Source organism: Homo sapiens, chromosome 14 (assembly GCF_000001405.40).
Source record: "Homo sapiens chromosome 14, GRCh38.p14 Primary Assembly".
Classification (NCBI taxonomy): Eukaryota; Metazoa; Chordata; class Mammalia; order Primates; family Hominidae; genus Homo; species Homo sapiens.
The window spans coordinates 19,974,713-19,995,181 of record NC_000014.9 but is presented as its reverse complement, the minus strand read 5'-3'; the positions used below and the strand labels follow the sequence as shown (position 1 = coordinate 19,995,181).

At 38.4% G+C, this 20,469-nt stretch overlaps 1 protein-coding gene across 1 annotated transcript; it reads right to left on the bottom strand.

Moving 5' to 3' along the window:
* Nucleotides 1-18,616: 18,616 nt before the first annotated feature.
* On the bottom strand, nucleotides 18,617-19,591 carry OR4K15 (olfactory receptor family 4 subfamily K member 15). Its single transcript, NM_001005486.2, has one exon. It carries the CDS (start codon nucleotides 19,589-19,591, stop codon nucleotides 18,617-18,619), a length of 975 nt encoding a protein of 324 aa, NP_001005486.2.
* Between the last annotated feature and the right edge of the window lie 878 nt (nucleotides 19,592-20,469).

The following is a 20,469-nucleotide window of genomic DNA, read 5'->3' as shown; positions in this document are numbered from 1 at the left end:
GAAGCAACTTTGGAACTAGGTAACAGGCAGAGGTTGGAAGAGTTTGGAGGGCTCAGAAGAAAAGAGAAAAATATTGGAAAGTATGGAACTTTCTAGAGCCTTGGAGGGCTCAGAAGACAGGAAGATGTGGTAAAGTTTGGAACTTCCTAGTATGAACCCCAAAAGTCTGAGACAAGTCCCAGTTAATTTAGAAAGTTTATTTTGCCAAAGTTGAGGATGTGTGCCCGTGTGTCAGTAGGTCCTAACAACATGTGCCCAAGGTGGTCAGGGCACAGTTTGGTTTTATACATTTTAGGGAGACATGAGACATTAATCAAAATATACAAAATGAACATCGGTTTGTTCTGGAAAGGTGGGACAACTCGAAGTAAGGGCAAGAAGACTGGAAATGGGGAGGGGGCTTCCAGGTCATAGGTAGATAAGAGACAAATGGTTGCATTCTTTTGAGTTTCTGATTAGCCTCTCCAAAGGAGGCAATCAGATATGCATTTATTTCAGTGAGCAGAGGGGTGACTTTAAACAGAATGGGAGGCAGGTTGTCCCTAAGCAGTTCCCAGCTTGACTTTTTCCTTTAGCTTAGTGATTTTGGGGCCCCAAGATTTATTTTCCTTTCACATTAGAGACATATTGAATGGCTTTGACCAACATGCTGATAGTGATACGGACAATGAAAGCCAGGCTGAGGTGGTCTCAGATAGAGATTAGGAATTTTTTGGGAGGTGGAATAAAGGTGACTCCTGCTATGCTTTAGCAAAGAGACTGGTGGCACTTCATCCTTGCCCTAGAGATCTGCGAAACATTGAACTAGAGAGAGATTATTTAAGGTATCTGGCTGAAGAAATTTCTAAGCAGCAAGATGTTCAAGAAAAAGCAGAGCATAAAAGTTTGGAAAATTTGCAGCCTGATTATGTGATAGGAGAGAAATTCAACTCAGCTGCATAAATTTGGATAAGTTATGATGAGCTGAATGTTAATCACCAAGACAATGGGGAAAATGTCTCCAGGGCATGTCAGAGACCTTCCCAGAAGACTCTCCCACCACAGGCCCAGAGGCCTACCAGGGAAAAATTGTTTTGTGAGCTGGGCCCAGGGCCTCCCTGCTCTATGCAGCCTCAGGACATGGTGTCCTGCATTCCAGCTGCTTCAGCTCCAGCTGTGGCTAAAAGGGTCCAAGGTACAGCTCAGGCTATTGGTTCAGAGGGTATAAGCCTCAAGCCTGGGTGGCTTCCATGTGGTGTTGAGCCTGTGGGTGCACAGAAGTCAAGAACTAAGGTTTGGGCACCTCCCCCTAGATTTCAGAGGATGTATGGAAATACCTGAATGTCCAGGCCTAAGTTTGCTGCAGGGGTGGGGCCCTCACAGAGAACCTCTGCTAGGACAATGCAGAAGGGAAATGTGAGGTGGGAGCACCCACACAGAGACCCCACTGTGTCACTGCCTAATGGAGCTGTGAGAAGAGGGCCACCATCCTCCAGACCCCAGGATGGTAACTCCACTGACAGTTTGCACCATGCACCTGGAAGTTACAGACACTCAACGCCAAACCATGAAAGCAGCTGGGAGGAAGTCTGTACCCTGCAAAGCCACAGGGGCAGAGCTACCCAAGACCACGGAAGCCCACCTATTGCATCAGCATGACCTGGATGTGAGACATGGAGTCAAAGGAGATGATTTTGAAACTTTAAGGTTTAATGACTGCACTATTGGATTTTGGACTTTCATGGGGCCTGTAGCCCCTTTGTGTCGGCCAATTTCTCCCATTTTGAATGGGTTTGTTTACCCAATGCCTGTACCCCCATTGTATCTAGGAAGTAACTAACTTGCTTTTGATTTTACAGGCTCATAGGTAAAAGGAATTTGCTTTGTCTCAGATGAGACTTTGGACTTGGCCTTTCTAGTTAATGCTGGAATGAGCTAAGACTTTGGGAGACTGTTAGAAAGTCATGACTGGTTTTGAAATGTAAAAAGGACCTGAGATTTGGGAGGGGCCAGGGGCAGAATGATATTGTTTGGCTGTGTCCCTACCCAAATCTCATCTTGAATTATAGTTCCCCTAATCCCCATGTGTCATGGAAGGGACCTGGTGGGAAGCGATTGAATCATGGGAGCAGTTTTCCCCCTACTATTCTCGTGATAATGAGTGAGTTCTCACAATATCTGATGGTTTGATAAGCATCTGGCATTTGCCCTGCTGGCACTCACTCTCTCTCCTTCTGCCCTGTGAAGAAGTGCCTTCCGCCATGATTGTAAGTTTTCTAAAGCCTCCCCATGTAGAACTGTGAGTCAATTAAATCTCTTTTCTTTATAAATTACCCGGGTATTTCTCAAGTATTTCTTCCATAGCAGTGTGAGAATGGACTAATACAGGGTAAACACATAGTAATGAGATTGCTGAATATCCAATAGGTAGTTTTTCGATCCTGCTCCTCTCCCTCCTTTCTCCATTTTGGAGAATGCAGTGTCTATTATTTCCATCTTTATCTCTGTGTGTGGCCATTTTTTATCTCTCACTTATATGTAAGAACATGTGGTATTTAATTTTCTGTTTCTGTATTAATGAGCTTAGGATAATGACCTCCAGCTGCATCCATGTTGCAGCAAAGAGCATAATTTTATTCTTTTTTTGGTTATATAATATTCAGTGACAATAAACATTTTCTTTATTCAATCTACCATTGATGGGCACTTAGGTTGATACCATGACTTTGCTGATTCACCCAAATCACATCTTGAATTGTAATCCCCACATGTCAAGGGAAAGCCTGGTGGGAGGTGATGTGTTCATGGGGGAAGTTTCCCCCATGCTGTTCTTGTGATAGTGAGTGAGTTCTTGCGAGATCTGATGGTTTAAAAGTGTTTGGTAATTTCCCTCTCCGTCTTTCTCTCTCCTGATGCCATGTAAAATGTGGCTTACTTCTCCTTCACCTTCCACCATAATTGTAAGTCTCCTGAGGGTATGTGAAACTGTGAGTCAATTAAACCTCTTTTGTTTATAAATTACCCAGTCTCAGGTAATTCATTACAGCAGTATGAAAATGGACTAATACACATGTTGCAGCAAAGGGCAGGATTTTATTCTTTTTCATGGCTACATAATATTCGGTGGTGTATGTGTACATCTTCTTTATCCAGTCTACCATTGATGGGCACCTAGGGTGACACTATGACTTTTCTGACTTTACTGTTGTGAATAGTGCTGTGATAAACATAGGAATGCAAGTGTCTTTTTGGTAGAACAGTATCTTTTCTTTTGAGTAGATACCCAATAATGATATCTAATGCTGGGTCAAATGATATTTCTGTTTTTAGTTCTTTGAGAAATCTACATGCTGCTTTTCACAGCGGCTGAACTAATTTACATTCCCACCAACATTGTATAAGTGCTCCCTTTCGTTTGCATTCTTGCCAACACCTGTTGTTTCTTGACTTTTTAATAATAGCAATTGTGACTGGTGTGAGATGAAATCTCATTGTGGTTTTGTACTGTATTTCTCTGGTGATTCATGGTGTTCAGCATTTTTCATGTTTGTTGACTACTTGTATTCCTCTTTTTGAGAAATGTCTCTTTATTTGCCCAGTTTTTAATGGGTTTTGTTTTTTTCTTGTTGATTTGTTTAATTTCCTTATAGATTCTACATATTAGTCCTTTGTTGGATGAATAGTTTGCAAATATTTTATCCAATTTTGTATACTTTCTTTTTACTCTTGATAGTTTCTTTTGCTGTACAGAAGCTCTTTAGTATAATTAAGTCACAATTGCCATTTGTTTATTTATTTAGAGACAGAGTTTTGCTCTTGTTGTCCAGGCTGGAGTGCAGTGGCCTGATCTTGGCTCACTGCAACCTCCGACCCCAAGTTCAAGCGATTCTCCTGCCTCGGCCTCCTGGGTAGCTGGGACTATAGGCGGCCACCACCACACCTGGCTAACTTTTGTATTTTTAGTAGAGATGGGGTTTCACTATGTTGGCCAGGCTGGTCTTGAACTCGTGACCTCAGATGATCCACCAGCCTTGGCCTCCCAAAGTGCTGGGATGCCAATTTTTATTTTTGTTGCATATGCTTTTGAGGTCTGAGTTATAAATTATTTGCCTAGGCCAATATCCCAAAGATATTTTCCTAGGCTTTCTCCTAGAATTTTTATACTTTGAGGTCTTACATTTAAGTATTTAATCCACATTGAGTTGATTTTTGTATATTGTTAGAGGTACTCGTCCTGGTTCATTCTTCTGTATATGGTTAGCCTGTTATTTCAGCACAATTTATTGAATAGGGTGTCCTTTCCCCATTGTTAATTTTTGTCAAGTTTGATGAATATCAGTTGGTTATAGGTGTGAGGCTTTATTTCTGGGTTCTCTCTTTTGTTCTCATGATCTACATGTCTATTTTTTACCAATACCAGGCTGTATTGGTTACTAGAGCCTTGTATTACAGTTTAAAGTCAGGTAATGTGATGTCTTCAGCCTTGTTTTTTTGCTTAGAATTGCATTGGCTATTTGGGCTCTTTTTGATTCTGTATGAATTTTAAGATTGTTTTTTCTAATTCTGAAAAAAATGATGTTGTTAATTTGATAGGAATTGTGTTAAATCTGTTGATTGCTTTGGGCAGTATGGCTATTTAAATTATATTGATTCTTCCAATTTATGAGCACGCAATGTTTTTCCATTTGTTTGTGTCAATTATAATTTCTTTCATCAGTGTTTGGAAGTTCTCCTTGCAAAAATCTTTCATCTCTTTGATTAAATATATTCCTAGGTATTTTATTTTTTCTTATAGTAAATGAAATTATGTTCTTGCTTTGTTTCTCAGCTTGAATGTTATTGGTGTTTATAAATGCTACTTATTTTTGTATGTTGACTGAACTTTACTAAAGTTGTTTATCAGATCTAGGATTATTTTGGAGAAATCTTCAGTGTTTTCTAGGTGTAGAATTGTAATCAGCGAACAAAGATAATTTGACTTTTTTTTTCTAATTTGGATGACTTTCATTTCTTTCTCTTTCCTGTTTGTTCTGGTTAGGGCTTTTAGTACTCTACTAAATAGGAATCATGAGAGTGGAAATCCTTGTCTTATTTCAAGTTTTGGGAAAATTCTTTCAACTTTTGCCTGTTCAATATAATGTTGGCTCTCCTTTTCTGATAGGCAGCTCTTATTACATTTCTTTGATGCCTAGTTTGTTGAGGATTTTTAGCATGAAAGGATGTTGAATGTTATCAAGTGCTTTATTTGTGTCTATTAGGATGATCGTATGGTTTTTGTTTTTAATTCTTTTTATATGGTAAATCACCTCTATTGATTTTCATATGTTGAACTCTCCTTATATTCCAGGAATAAAGCCCAGCTGATCATAATAAATTATCTTTTTGATGTGCTGCTATATTCAGTTTGCTAGCATTTTGTTGAGCAGTTTTGCATCTGTGTTCATCAGGGACATTGGTCTATAGTTTTCTTTTCCTTTTTTTTTTGTTGTGTCCTTGCCAGATTTTGGTATCAGAATAATATTGGTTTCATAGAAGGAGTTAGGTAGGAATATCTCCTCCTCAATTTGGGATAATAGTTTTATTAGGATTAGTACCATCTCTTCTTTTTATGTCTGGTAGAATTTGGCTGTGAATCCATCTGGTCCAGAGATTTTCTTGGTTGGTAGGGATTTTTTTTTTTTTCTGATTCAATTTTGTAACTCATTATTGGTCTGTTATGGGTTTCCATTTCTTCTTGGTTCAATCTTATAACACTGTGTATTTCCAGGAATGTATCAATTTCCTCTAGATTTTCTAATTTGTGCACATAAAGATGTTCATAGTAATCTCTGGGGATCCTTTGTATTTCTGTAGTATCAGTTGTAATGTCATCTTTGTCATTTCTGATTTTGCTTATTTGGATCTTCTCTCTCTTTTCTTTATTAACCTAGCTAATCCTCTATCATTCTTGTTTAGCCTTTCAAATAACCAACTTTTTGTTTTATTGATTCTTTGTATTTTCCTGTGGTCTGAATTTTATTGACTTCTGTTCTGATCTTAGTTTTTTTTTCTGCTAACTTTGTTTAGCTTGCTCATATTTTTCTAGTCCCTTTAGAGGCAAGGAAAGGTTATTTATTTGTGATCTTTCTATCTTCTATTTTTTTTTTTTTTGAGACGGAGTTTTACCCTTCTCACCCAGGCTGGAATGCAATGGTGCGATCTCTGCTCACTGCAACCTCCACCTCCTGGGTTCAAGTGATTCTCCAGCTTCAGCCTCCTGAGTAGCTGGGATTACAGGTGCCCGCCACCATGCCAGGCTACTTTGTGTATTTTTTTTTTTAGTAGAGATGGGGTTTCACCATGTTGACCAAGCTGCTCTGGAACTCTTAACTTCAGGTGATCTGTCTGCCTCAGCCTCCCAAAGTGCTAGGATTACAGGCATGAGCTACTGTGCCCGGCCTCTGTCTTCTTGATGGTAGAAGTTTACCACTATAAACTTTCCTTGTATCACTGCTTTCACTACTCCTTAGAGGTTTTAGTATGTTGTGTCTCAAATTTTATTTATTTCAAAGAACTTTTTGATTTCTACCTTAATTTCCTAGTTTATCTGACAGTCATTCAGGAGCAGGTTGTTTAGTTTCCATGTATTTGTGTGGTTTTGAGATTTTCTCTTGGTATTGATTTCTAATTTTATTCCATTGTTGTCTGAGAAGATGCTTTGCATGATTTTGATTTTTTTTTGAATTTATTAAGACTTACTTTATAACTGAGCATGTGGCCAATCTTAAAGAATGTTCCCTGCATAGATGAGAAGAATGCATACTCTGTGGTTTTGGGGTGAAGTATCTGTAGATGTCTATTCAGTCCATTTGGTCAAGTGTACAGTTTAAGTCAAGAATTTCTTTGTGAGTTTTCTGCCTTGATGGTATGTCTAATATTGTCAGTGGTCTGTGGAAGTCCTCCACCATTATTGCATGGCTATCTGTATCTTTTCTTACATCTAGTAGTAGTTTTTTAATAAATCTGGGTGCTCTGATGTTGGATGCATATGTATGCAGGATACTTAAATCTTCTTATTGAATTGAGTCCTTTATTATTATATAATGCCCTTCTTTGTCTCTGTTACTATTATTGGTTTAAAGTCTGTTTTATGTGATACAAGAATAGTGACATGGCCGGGCACGGTGGCTCATGCCTGTAATCTCAGCACTTTGGGAGGCCAAGGTGAGTGGATCACCTGAAGTCAGGAGTTTGAGACCAGCCTGGCCAACATGGTGAAACCCCATCTCTACTAAAAACACACAAAAATATTAGCTGGGTGTGGTGGTGGGCACCTGTAATCCCAGCCACTTGGGAGCCTACGGCAGGAGAATCACTTGAACCCTGGAGGCGGAGGTTGCAGTGAGCTGAGATCGCGCCATTGTACTCCAGCCTATGCAACAAGAGTGAAACTCCATCTCAGAAAAAAGAAAAAAAAAAAAAGAATAGTGACATCTGCCCTTTTTCCATTTGGGTGATAGATCTTTCTTCATCACTTTACTTTGAGCCTACTGGTGTCATTACATGTGTGATGGGTCTTTTGAAGGCAACAGAAGGTTGTGTCTTGTTTTCTTATCCGATTTGCCACTCTATCTTTTAAATTCAGCAATTAAGCTGTTTACATTCAAGGTTAATATTTTTATGTAAGAGTTTGTTCTGTTGTAGTGTCGTTAGGTAGTTTCTTTGTAATCTTGATTGTGTAGTTGCTTTATAGGGTCTGTTAGCTTTATACTTATGTGTGCTTTTATGATAACAAGTATCATTCTTTCATTTCCATTTTTAGAACTCTTTTAAAAATTTTTGTAGGACTGATTTGGTGGTAACAAATTCCCTTAGCATTTGCTTGTCTAGAAAAGACATTAGTTCTTCTTTGTTTATAAAGTTTAGTTTGGTGGGATGTATAATTCTTGGTTGGCATTTATGTTTTCTTTCAAAATGTTAAAAATAGACCCCCAATCTCTTCTGGCTTATAAGGTTTCTGCTGAGATGTCCACCATTAGTCTGATGGTATTCCCTTTATGGGTAATTTGGCCCTTTTCTCTAGCTTCCTTTGAGATTTTTTTTTTATTTCACATGAATCATGAATAGTCTGATGACTATTTGCCTTGGGAATGGTCATATTGTTTAGTATCTCTCAGTAGTTTTTATTTCTTATATATAATTTCTTATATCTGGATGGCAATGTCTCTAACAAGATTGGGGAAATTTTATTTAATTATTTCCTGAAATATGTTTTCCAATTTGCTTACTCTTTCTTCTTCTTTCTCAGGAATGCCAGTAAGTCATAGGTTTTTGTTGTTTAACATAATATCATATAATACTTCTTGAAGACTTTGTTCATTTTTTAAATTCTTTCCCTCTATTTTTGTCTGACTGAGTTAATTTGAAACATGGTCTTTGAGCTCTGGCTTTCTCTATTCTGCTTGTCTAGTCTGCAATTAAGTCTTCTGATTGTATTTTGAAATTCCTGTAGTAAATTTTCCAATTTCAGAAGTTCTGTTTGGGTTTTTGTTAATATACCTATGTCATCTTTCATATACTGAATCATTTTACTGTTTTCTTTTTCTATTGGATTTCAACATCCTCTTGAATCTTGAGTTTCCTTACAACCCATACTTAGAATTTTTAATCTGTCATTTCAGACATTTCAATCTGGTTAGGTTTCAGTGCTAAGGAGCTAGTACAATCCTTTGGAGATGTTGAAACACTGTGATTTTTTGTGCTGCTGGAGTTCTTATGCTGATTTTTCTCATCTGAGGAAAGTGTTGCTTCTTATTTTTGAATTTGCATTGTTTGGATGGGGCTCTTTATTTTTTTTCCTTTGAGGGTGTAACTGTGGTGGATGTTATGTATTATCTTTTGGCTTAGTTTCTGAATGCTTTTCTTGGGGGACAAGGCTCTACATGTTGGTTGTGGATACGTTTTGTGTGGTGGCTTTATCAGATATTGTTTGGTATAGCCATGTATTTTTTATTTGATGGTGCAGTTCAGTCTGTAGTCCAGTATATAGCACTTAGGAGTATGATATGGCAGGTAAGCTGCTGCCCAGTGGATGGTGGATGAATTTTCACTGATGAGGGTAGCAGGAAGAGATCATGATGGAGTGCCCTGAAGCCTCCAGGAAAGAGATGGAGGGGTGCACCAGCTCTTCATCCTGAACTAGCAGAAATGCAGTCTACTTCCCTATCATATCCCTGTCACAGGTCTCATGACCTTGTTTGTAAAATCTTCATCCTTTAGTTCCGAGCACAGTGCCTTTGTGGGCCATGGATCTGCCTCTCTGATGGCTACCACTATAATGAGGGTCAGGGTAGAACCTCTTCCTCCAGTACAGGACACACAACTTTGTAGTCTATCCTCTGTTGTCAGGGTGCTGCCACTCTGTGTTGGAAGGGGGAGTTGGACCCCACCCCTTGTGAAAGCCAGAGCATACACAGTCTCATTTTCAGCAGGGGTGGATCCACCACACCTGCTGAAAGCACAAAGAATCACTTTCTTTCAGTGCACACTCACCAGCTCTTGCAGGAAGAACTGCTGCTGCATTCATAACAGTGTACAGTGGATGAAAGGTGGGAGACGATCCTCTTCTTCATAATTATTCCTGCATATTGATGCTGTCTCGTTCCTCAGTTGGTGCCACATCTGTATTTCCTTTGTCCCAGGGAGTACTTTGGCAGGCTGTGCTCCCAGGCTCCTTAAAGGGTGGCTCCGTGCTGAGAGTAAGATCTCCAGAGAACCTACAATACCCCAGGCACCCACTGGTCCCCTGTGCTTGCCAAAGTCAGAGCAGGTTGTGGAGTATATTTTCAGGTGGTCTGGTGGTGCAGTGACTTAATGGCAGAGGATCCTTGGGAAGGAAAGTGACACACTGGTGCACAACCCGTATGGTGCCCATCATCTCAGTTCAGGTCCAAGGCGAGAGTGGGTATGGCTTTGTGAGCTGGCCACTGGTTCTGTGTTCTCAGGAAATTCTCTAATCATCACTGATTGTGTTGCCCTGGCTAGCAAGAGCAAAGGGGCTCCCCAACCGTTTAGCACTTGGCAGGTCTTCAGAGGGGTGTAGAAAGAAGCAACTTCCACCTACTCTTTTGGCTGAGCTCTGAGTTGCTCAGAGGTTGATATCAGCCAGAGTCTTGCTGCATTCTTCTTCTGTGCTGCAGCTTCTTCCCGTGGGCACTCCAACAGGTCCTCACTTCTCTATACTTTCCATTCAAAACTTGTTCATTCACTGGTAACTTTGATCTTTCTGAGAAGAGCTGGCATGTAATTTCCCTAATCAGCTTGAAAAAGAAACCATTTTGTTTTTAGAATGTATACATTTATCACTATAAATTTTCTCCTTAGTGCTGCTTTTGCTGTATCCCATTAGTTTTGGTATGTTGTGTTGTCATTTTCATTAGTCTCTAAATATTTTCTAATTTCCACTGTGGTTTCTTCTTTAATTAATTGATGGTTTAAGAGTGTATTTAATTTCCACAATTTTGTCAGTTTTCCAGTTTTACTTCTGTTATTGATTTCTAACTTTAGTTGTGTTCAGAAAAGATATTTTCTGTGATAGCTATCTTTTAAATCTCCTGAGACCTAATTTGGGCCTAACATATTTTCTATCTTGGAAAATATCCCATATACACTTGAGAAGAATGTGTATGCTGTTGTTGAGTAAATATTCTGTATATGTTAGAACTATTTGGTTTATTCTAAGTCCTCTATTTTCCTTACCTATCTTCTATCTGGTTGTTTTATCCATATTGAAAGTAGGGTATTGAAGTCTTAAACTGTTATTGTAGAATTGCTTATTTCTCCCTTCCATTATGTCAGTTTTTGCTTCAAATATTTTGATGGTTTGTAAGTGTTTATGATTGTTGTATCTTCTTACTATATTTAACCTTTCATCAGTATATCATGTCCTTCTATGTCTCTTGCAAACATTTTTATTTAAAGCCGAATTTTTCTGATATTAGTATAGCCACCCGTGTTCTCTTTTGACACAACACCCTACTCTCTTGACTTATCTAGCCAGGCTTCAGTGAAAAATCCTGTTAAGTCAGTTTGGTAAGAATCCCTGCAACCTTGAAATCAAATTCATTTTTTTATTGCCAACCTTTGATAGCTAAGTTCTTGGCCAGCCTTTAACAAGAATCCTCCTAAGCCAACCAGTGATCTCTGACTGCTGTTCAGAAGAAGCAAGAGGGATGGATAATGTAAAAATCTGAATCAATATTTCTAATTCTGGGCACATATTGGAATTGGCTAGTAATCTCATATTAGCTTGGTTCCAACAATTGCCCAGTTCATGGAAAGCCTTCTAATTTAGTTTACTTTGGATATTTTTACTTGTTTTGCTTTACTCTTGTGGAATATATTGCTGTTGTACTCTCTGTGTAGGAATGTAGGATAAATTTATTCAATGTTTCCTTAAATTAAACACTTATTAATCTCCCAGTTATCACCTTTTGTCAGAACTCAGAGTTAGGAATGGCCCTCACCACACTGATTCTTTCTGACTGAGCCCCTCTCTACCCCAAATACAGGGGACCCTAATAATTAGGCAGGAATATCATTACCCCTATTCAGCCTGAAGAAGTTTCAGAAGATGGATCTTCATCCCTTTGCAGCCCTTAGTATTAAGGATTCTCTTATAAAAGTGAGGGGGAAATGTCAGAGGTGTTTGAACCAGGGCAATTCCATCTTAAACAGGAGCTAGGTAAAATAAGGCTGTGATCTACTGGACTGCATTTCCAGAAGGTTAAGGCATTCTAAGTCACAGGATGAGATAGGAAGTTGGCACAAGATACAAGTCATAAAGACCTTGCTGATAAAACAGTTTGCAGCAAAGAAGTCAGCCAAAACCCGTCAAAATCAAGATGGTGACAAGAGTGACCTCTGGTTGTCCTCACTACTACACTTCTGCCAGCACCATGACACTTTACAAATGCCATGGCAACATCAGGAGGTTACCTTATATGGTCTAAAAAGGGGAGGCATGAATAATCCACCCCTTGTTTAGCATATACTCAAGAAATAACCATAAAAATGGGCAACCAGCAGCCCTCGGGGTGGCTATGTCTATGGAGTAGCCATTCTTTTATTCCTCTACTTTCTTAATAAGCTTGCTTTCCCTTTACTCTATGTACTCTGAATTCTCTCTTGCATGAGGTCCAAGAACCCTCTCTTGGAGCCTGGATCCAGACACCTTTCCTGTAACGACCATGTATGAATTGAAAAAATGATTAGACAGGGTGAAAAACAGATTAAAAATTAGTATTTAGTGTATGATTTCAATTTTCTAAAACTCTACAAAATTCAAACTAATCTAAAGTGACAAAAAGTAGGCCAGTGGTTCTCTGGGAGGAGGAGGGTAGATAGGATCACCATAGTATTACAGGGGATCCCTTGGGAGTGATTTATATGTTATAGGTAGTGATGTTTTCATGTTAGTTTAACACTTACTTATTGTTTGCTTGCTTGTTTACTTGCTTTCTGTGTCCCCTACTATAATTGATTATCTATAGCCAGGGTTGGCAAATTATGGCTCCATGGGCCAAATCTCAGTCATAGTCTGTGTATGTATGGCCCACAAGCTAAGAAGAGTTTTTATATTTTTAAAGGGATGTAAAAAAGAAAAAAATGCAACAGTAAGGAACAATATGCAACAGAGACTATATGCACCTCATAAAGTCTAAATATTTAATATCTGGCCTGTTACAGAAGAAATTTGCCAATCTCTATTCTATATGATCAATTATCTCCTATTCTATTCACATATATGTGGTAGCCTGTATATTACAAAATAGCTAGAAGAGAGTGTTGGAAATAAATTTTTGGTGCTGCAAAAGAAATAGCACTTGAACATGAATTTTCTCAGCAAGGCAATTTTACTTCCATAGAAGGGTGTGTCTCATGGATGGAGCAATGGTGAGAGCACACCTGAACAAGGGAGGGGAAGGGGTTCTTATCCCTGACACAGGTAGCCCCTGCTGCTGTGTCATTCCACTATTGACTAGGGTTGGACTGCACATCTAAGCTAATTCAGATTGGCTATTTTAAAGAGAACAGAGGTACGAGCCAGAGTGGCAGGATGAGTAGTTTGGCGGGAACAGTTACAGAACAGGTGACTCAGGATGACTAAGACCGAACAGAGCAGGTGACCAAGGATGATGAAGATCAGAGCAGGTGAACAAGGGTGACTAAGGTCAGAGCAGGTGATAGAGGGTAGGAGGAGGTTGTTTACTGAAACTAGGGGCAAGGAGACATAAAGAACAAGGAAATTCAACTTTAAAATGAAGAGGAAAGAATGGGGAGCTGAACATATTGATACATTGGTTCTTTGGAGAGGGTCTCAGAACTCATTGTACTTAACAATTTACAGGCTAAAACCTTTGAGGAGGAATTTATGATATCCTACAATTTTCCCCCTTTCAGTTTTCATAGTATTTCCTCTTCAAACTTTTTTTTTTTTTTTTTTTAACATATCTTGGCTTTGCTGCTCGACTTAATCCTCTAAAAGAAAAAGCTGATCTGAATAAGGTGAAGGAGAGCTAAGGGAGGTTTTAGTAAATGCTGCTTCTATAAGTCTTTGCACTAGCCCACGGATGCATGGTATGACACAACACTTGACAAGAATGAGTACACCTACTACAGCTGCAAGAGAAGTAAGAATTGAGGCTATGATTCCTTTCCATTTACTGAACCTTTTTTCTAGCCACCTGTGAAGGGATAATTCACTCCTGAGTTTTTGGCTAACTCATTGGACAGGGCAGTTAGATCTTGCAATGCCTTTGTTGTACTTCCATCAGGGGTGGTGTTGTTTGGGATGAAGGTACAACATTGAGTTTTAATCATGATGCAAACTCCTCCTCTTTCTGCTAATATTATGTCAAAGGCTATTCTATTTCCCCAAGCCATCTGGCTAGTAGGCCCTAATTGCTCAGCTATTCCTTTAACAGCATCTCTAGTGCAGTTAATAGACCGCTGTTGGTTGTAATAAATGTAATTTATCCAATCTATGTTTTTATTCATTTTCACCCACCAAAATATTGACTCAAATCCTGCAGCTATTTGATCTCTGGCTTTAAATTTATCTGGTACTCCTCATGGGACCCCAATTACATCTAAATAAGTGTGAGAGTCAGAAGACCCATAAAGGGCTTCCCTTGTTTTACGATGTTGTATTTTTCCTCTTTCTAGTTGATGAAATGCCAGGGTGAAAGGGATAGCCAACTGGACTAGAGCACAAGTGCCACTCCAGTTACTTGGCAGAGAGTCCACCACAATACCTCCATACATCTGCTCGGGGATGAACAAGGGCTGACTGATTGGTAAGCTCTTGGAAAGTCTTAAGCTCACTGCATCCTTTCAGGTCTCCAAGAAATGCTAAGTTTCCCCCCTGTCATGAGAGACAAGAAGTGAAATTAATGTGGGTAGGTGGAAGCTGGATGGCCTTCGGGGGTTGACCTGCAGAGTGTTGAACTTCGGGATACAGCAGAGAGAGAACTTGACATGGCTTGTTACCCCAGGCTGTGTAATCCTGGAAAAGAGCTACCATGCAGCCCATGCCTGGCCCACTGGAGGACCACCCTAGTGGAAAGGGGTCAATCTAGGCCTGCCGTGTGCTCAAGCATAACAATTGCTTTTGTTTAACCTGCGGATGGAATATTTGATCCATTCAAACCAGGCATTTGCATCTTGATATCCTGTCTCTATTGCTAAAGTTTGTTTTTAAGCATTTACTTCTACAATGTCTACTTTGGTCCTATCATTAGATGGAGGAGGAACAACCGTTTCATTATGAGAGGTTTTGGAAGAAGGCTTAGGGGAAGGTGTAGGTGGTGGGGGATCAATGAAACATATTTCAAAGTATCTGAAAGGGTCTGTTCCTGAAACCTCATCCCCCATACCATAAAAACTGGCTTAAAGAAGAGAACTGACTTAGAGAAGGGGAAGAGCTTTGAGGGTTTGGGATAATAACCTGTATTGGATTGCACTGGTTTAGCTGACAGCTAGGTGAAGCTGTTCCTTTAGTAAAATGAATGTATGGCTTTAGGAAATTACAACTACTGGTTGAGGCAGCCCATTCTTTCTCTTTAGTGGTCCACAGAACGTTGGACCAACTGCAGCATAAAAACTCAGTCTATGGGGGGCAAGACTCCCAGCTGATGCTGGGGCCCTCGTTGAAATCTTCCCAGACTAAATGATCCCAATTCACTAATGTCCAGTCTGAGAAAAGCCAGGAAGGGCAGAGGTACTTTTCTGAACTGGAGATCTGTCTTTGACTTAAAAAGTCTCCACAGGATGTAACAAGGCAAGCATCAAATGTAATAGTTTGAGGTGAAATGGACTTGGTTACATTAATAACTAGGTGGTCAGCAATAGAGTGAGGAAAGAAGGAATCATAGAATAGATGAAAGAAAGTTAAATTTTTCTTAGCTTTAGTTTGGTAGGGTTTTCCCCTGGGACTATGGCCCATGACTCTGGAGGGGGTGGTGCTTTCTTGACTCGGGTGTAATGGGCCCATCCTTTTTCTGCTATTCAGCCTGCAGTTTCAGTAGTTAGGAGCATGAGGTAAGGTCCTTCCCAGGCCAGTTCCAGCTTTTCCTTCTCTCCAAATTTTGATGGGGACGTGGTCCCCAGGCTGATGTTGGTGTACTGGAAACTCTAGAGGTGGCACCTGTGCTAAAAGACCTTTAGTTCTGAGGGAAGATAAAATGGAAGATAAACCAAGTATATAATTTCTGAGAAACTGATCTTTTGTTTCAAATGTAGGAAGATCAGTAGTAGAATGTAGATAAGGTGATCCATAAAGCATCTCTTAAGGGGATAGGCCTATGTCTTTTCAGGGAGCAGTTCAGACTCTTAACAGGGTAATAGGCCTTTCTACTTTCCCTAATGAAGATGGGTGCCAGGGAGTATGATAATCCCATGTTACATCCAGTACCTGGGATAATTTCTTAATGACATGTGCCGTGAAATGAGTCCCATTATCTGAATTAATGTTTTCTATTAATTTAAACCTGGGTATAATATTTTCAACTAATGCCTTGACTACATTATTAGCAGTTGTACTTGAAAAGGGAATAGCTTCTACCCAATGAGTAAGGTGATCTACTATTACTAATAAATATTTTAGACGACCAATTGGAGGCATCTGTGTGTAATCATTCTGGATACTTTGGAATGGCCTTAAGCCTGGACTTCTTCCCCCAAGGGGTAATCTTTTACTAAGCAACTGTCTGTAACCTGTTTGGCCAGGGTATAAATTCCTATGCACCCATAAACTCTGAGGACTGCGTCACACATGGCTTGGGGCCCACAATGGGTCCCTTGATGCAGTTGGAACAAGATCTCCCTTATAAGGGACTTGGATAACATTTCTCTCTGGTCTAGCAATATCCATTTTCCTTCTGAATTCTCTTTAGCACCTATTTTTATTAGGTTTTAGACCAAAGAAAGCCAAACACCACTTTATATTTGACAATGCTTCCTGTATGATTTTATACCAGATAGGCTAAATTTCACCTTTATATTAATGTTATGTTATATTATATTATATTATATTAATGTGTGCCATTAATGTTAAACTCAATTTTAATAAAACCTTGTAGGTGTATTTATCCAATTTTAATGTCTGACCATAAGGTAAGATTTTTATAGACTCTTTTTAAGCCTTTATAATTTTTGTTAAAGAACAGGTTAGTGCTTTAAGAAAAACCCGTTGTGCTTTTATTTTAATGTCCAGTTTACAGAAAAACTGTACCAGTCAGCCTGAGCTCTTGTTGTTTGAGTAACTTCGCAAGGAACTTGGGTACCGTCTTTAGTGAAAAACATAATATTCTGAAACTTTTTTGCATACTAGGAATAGGAAAATGTGTGTGAGAGGATAACCAGAAAATCATATTTTCTGGACAGGGCACACTGTACTCCAACTATAATACACAGTAAATGTATTACTATAAGCAGCAATACACTTAAAAAGTGTGCCATCTGGGTCAAAGAAACCAAAAAAAAAACAAAACAAAACACCACAAAACCTGCGTAGGAAATCCATTCTGCTATTTTCTAGCTTTATAATATTGCACCATATTCTTAATGCTTCTTTACCTTATTTTTATCATATGTAAAATGAAAGGAATAAATATATCCTAGAGATATTTTAAAGCTTAAAAAGATGTAAAACTATTACTACATTTCTTGTTGTACAATGTTAACTCAGTTGTAATTAGTACTGGTACCACAATATATCATTTGTTTTATGCATAAAATTAGAATATGCAAAAATATTGTAAAATTTTGGAAGTGTTGTATTATTGTAAAAAGTTTTACTACTTTTTTATACTTACTTTTTTTACTTACACTTTTTTGTATTTAATTTTTTTCTTATATTTAAATGTTAATGCACATTTGTTTTATTTTCATTTTGTTATTTCTTAAATAACTCGGAATCCTTTGGCTCAGAAACTTTTTTTTCCCTTCACTAATAGGACTTATTAAATCCCTTTAGGAGACTGTAAAGACTGAGTCTGGAAAACAATCGGTTAACATTATATCAGACTATGACTAGAACCCAGTAAAAAAAATATAGAAATAGCCTTGAATGCTATAAAAGAGGAAAAGCCTAAAATAGCCTGTAGTGGTGAATCCCCAAAAATCTTGGTCTTGTAAGTGATCAAGGAGGGGTAAATTTATGATGAACTCTAAGGTCTTGAAATAGGGTTCTGTCATTTTCAGAGCCTACACTGGGCAATTTAAAAATGAAATATCAACTGAATTAAAAAGTCCACATAGAAAAGTTATAATATCTACCAAATACTAATATAAAAATACTCTAAGAAGATAAGATCATAAAAATCTAGGGGGAAAATATTTTATACTAAGATTCAGACTCCTACTATCATGAAGATAAGTGGTAGAGAATTATAACTCGTCTCTGGTCCCCCAGATTATTTTATCAGTACTAAACAGAAGTGGACATAGGCCAATATAAAACATACCAGTAAATAAATTTGTTCAGGTGGTTGTTTTTCATGAACAACATATATTAAACAGCCACTGTGATGAAGGCTTTGTGAAAGTGTGAAATGTAAATGCCTTCTGCTGGGTAGTCATGCCCTTTTACATTTTACTGTATCTTTCACACCATTCATAGACGTGTCTTCATGTGCTGTCAGATATATAGTGCAGTATAAAATGCATTCGTATCTAGATCTATCACATACTGTATATCACATATCATATACTTATAAATAGATCTATTATATCTGTGGCTTGGAGATATGCACCTATCATTACTCCAAAGTTGGTGTGAGTAGTACTGTTTTCAAAGGGAGAGACAACAGTATATTAACCATTTATAAGGTAATGTCATTTTCTCAATGTCATCAAAGTCTGTATCTTAAGAAATTTTAAAATAAAGAATACAAAGTAGGATATTAAAAAATATACAATGGAGAAAGAATATTTAAAATCACTAAAGTTTATTTCATGAGTTTTTATTATCATTACAGTTTGCTTCAAATCGATCAACTGAGCTTTCCCACAGGCCAAGTTGATTTGCTTTAAGATTACAGTGAATCCACTTGTAAGTGTATGGAGACAGGGCTAAAGTGGTAACAGTCTCATAAGTTTACTTTGTTTCTAGGAAAAGAACATTTCTTATGACTACAGAAACCTGACTAGGCTTCAGATACCGACTCTTCAGTTTTGACATAGCTGCCTTCACTTCTTTGTTTCTTAGCGTGTAGATTACAGGGTTTAAAATAAGCGTGAAGATGGTGTAGAATACAGCAAGGACTTTGTCAACTGAGTAACTGCTGAAGGGCCACACATAGATGAAAATGCATGGTCCAAAGAATAAAGTGACCACAGTGATGTGAGCAGTCAATGTGGAGCGGGCCTTCGCCATGCTTGCAGAGGAGCGATTCCTAACTGTAACAAGTATTACAGTGTAGGAGACAACCAAGAGGAGAAAGGAACTCAGAGAAAGAAAGCCACTATCTGCAACTATTAGTAAGCTGACAACATAAGTGTCTATGCAGGCTAACTTGGTCACTAGAGGAAGGTCACAGAAAAAACTGTCTACCTTATTAGGACCACAAAATGGCAGATTAACAGTGAATGCCAACTGGCTGGTAGTATGGATGAAGCCCACAAACCATGAAATGAGGACGAGCACAACACATACACGACGGCTCATGACTGTCATGTAGTGGAGAGGTTTGCATATAGCAACATAACGGTCATAGGCCATGGAAACTAGGAGCACCATTTCACTGCCAGTGAAGAGATGAACAAAGAAAATCTGGGCCAGGCAGGCATCAAAAGAAATAGTCTTGCGCTCAACCAGAAAGTCTGCAATCATTTTAGGGGTAGCAAAAGAGGCAACACATACGTCTATAAATGACAGGTTTGCAAGCAGAAAGTACATGGGGGTGTGAAGGCGGGAATCTGAGGTCACAGTGAGGATGATGAGAAAGTTGCCCAACAGAATTGCTAGATAAAGTAGTGAAAATGTAAGAAACAAGAAAGGTTGGAGCTCCCTTGAACTAGACAGTCCCAGCAACACAAATTCTGTCACCCGAGAATGATTTGTCTCATTCATCGATTTTGGAAGGGACTTAATTTCAGCTACCTGAATAGGAGAGAAACAGAGATCAGTTAATGAAGTGAGCATGGGTTTGATTTTCCAATTACACTTAAACTTTTCAGAATTCCAATTCCTATTGCTATGTATGTGTCTGGGTTTTCATGAGTTATTACAAGTTATACAGCTAGTACAGCTAAGTATGGAAGATTGCGTTAAAGGGGAGGGTTGTCAAGGAGATGTTCAACCAACTGGGATATCTAAATACATTAATTTAAGAAATAAAATCAACAATCTAAAAATGAATTTGAGCATCTGAAGTTTTTGTGACACTACAGAAATCAGTCTAAAAATCTACGGAGACAAAATCTAAACCAATTTTTTCTAAAGTAAATGATATAAAAATTTTTTGAACATCTGCCACAGAGGAAGATAATTTCACAAACTTGATGACTTAAAAAGTTAGATACGGAAGAGTATACACTGTATTGGTCTATTTAAATGAAGTTCAAAAATGGCAAACTAAGGTGTAGAAAAACCTCCTAGCAGTTATCCTTAAGGGACAGGAAGTGGTCATGGGAGGGGCTTCTGAAGTGCTGGTAATATTCTTTCTTGATGTGGTTGATAGTTACATGGGAGTATTTACTTTATGAAAACTTACTGAAATATGAACTTTTGCTTTTTTCACTTTTGTATACATAAGTTGCATAATTATGAAAATTAAAACAAGAGAGAAAGAGAGACAGCATTAGATTTGCATAAGAGAGCTCACAGGAGAAATCATTGCCTTAAGTGATTATACCTTATTTCTTCTCTACAGTTAAAAATTATATAAACTAAAGTACAGAACCCTGGCAAAATTGAAAGGCCCCAATATTATTGGAACTCTTTTATGA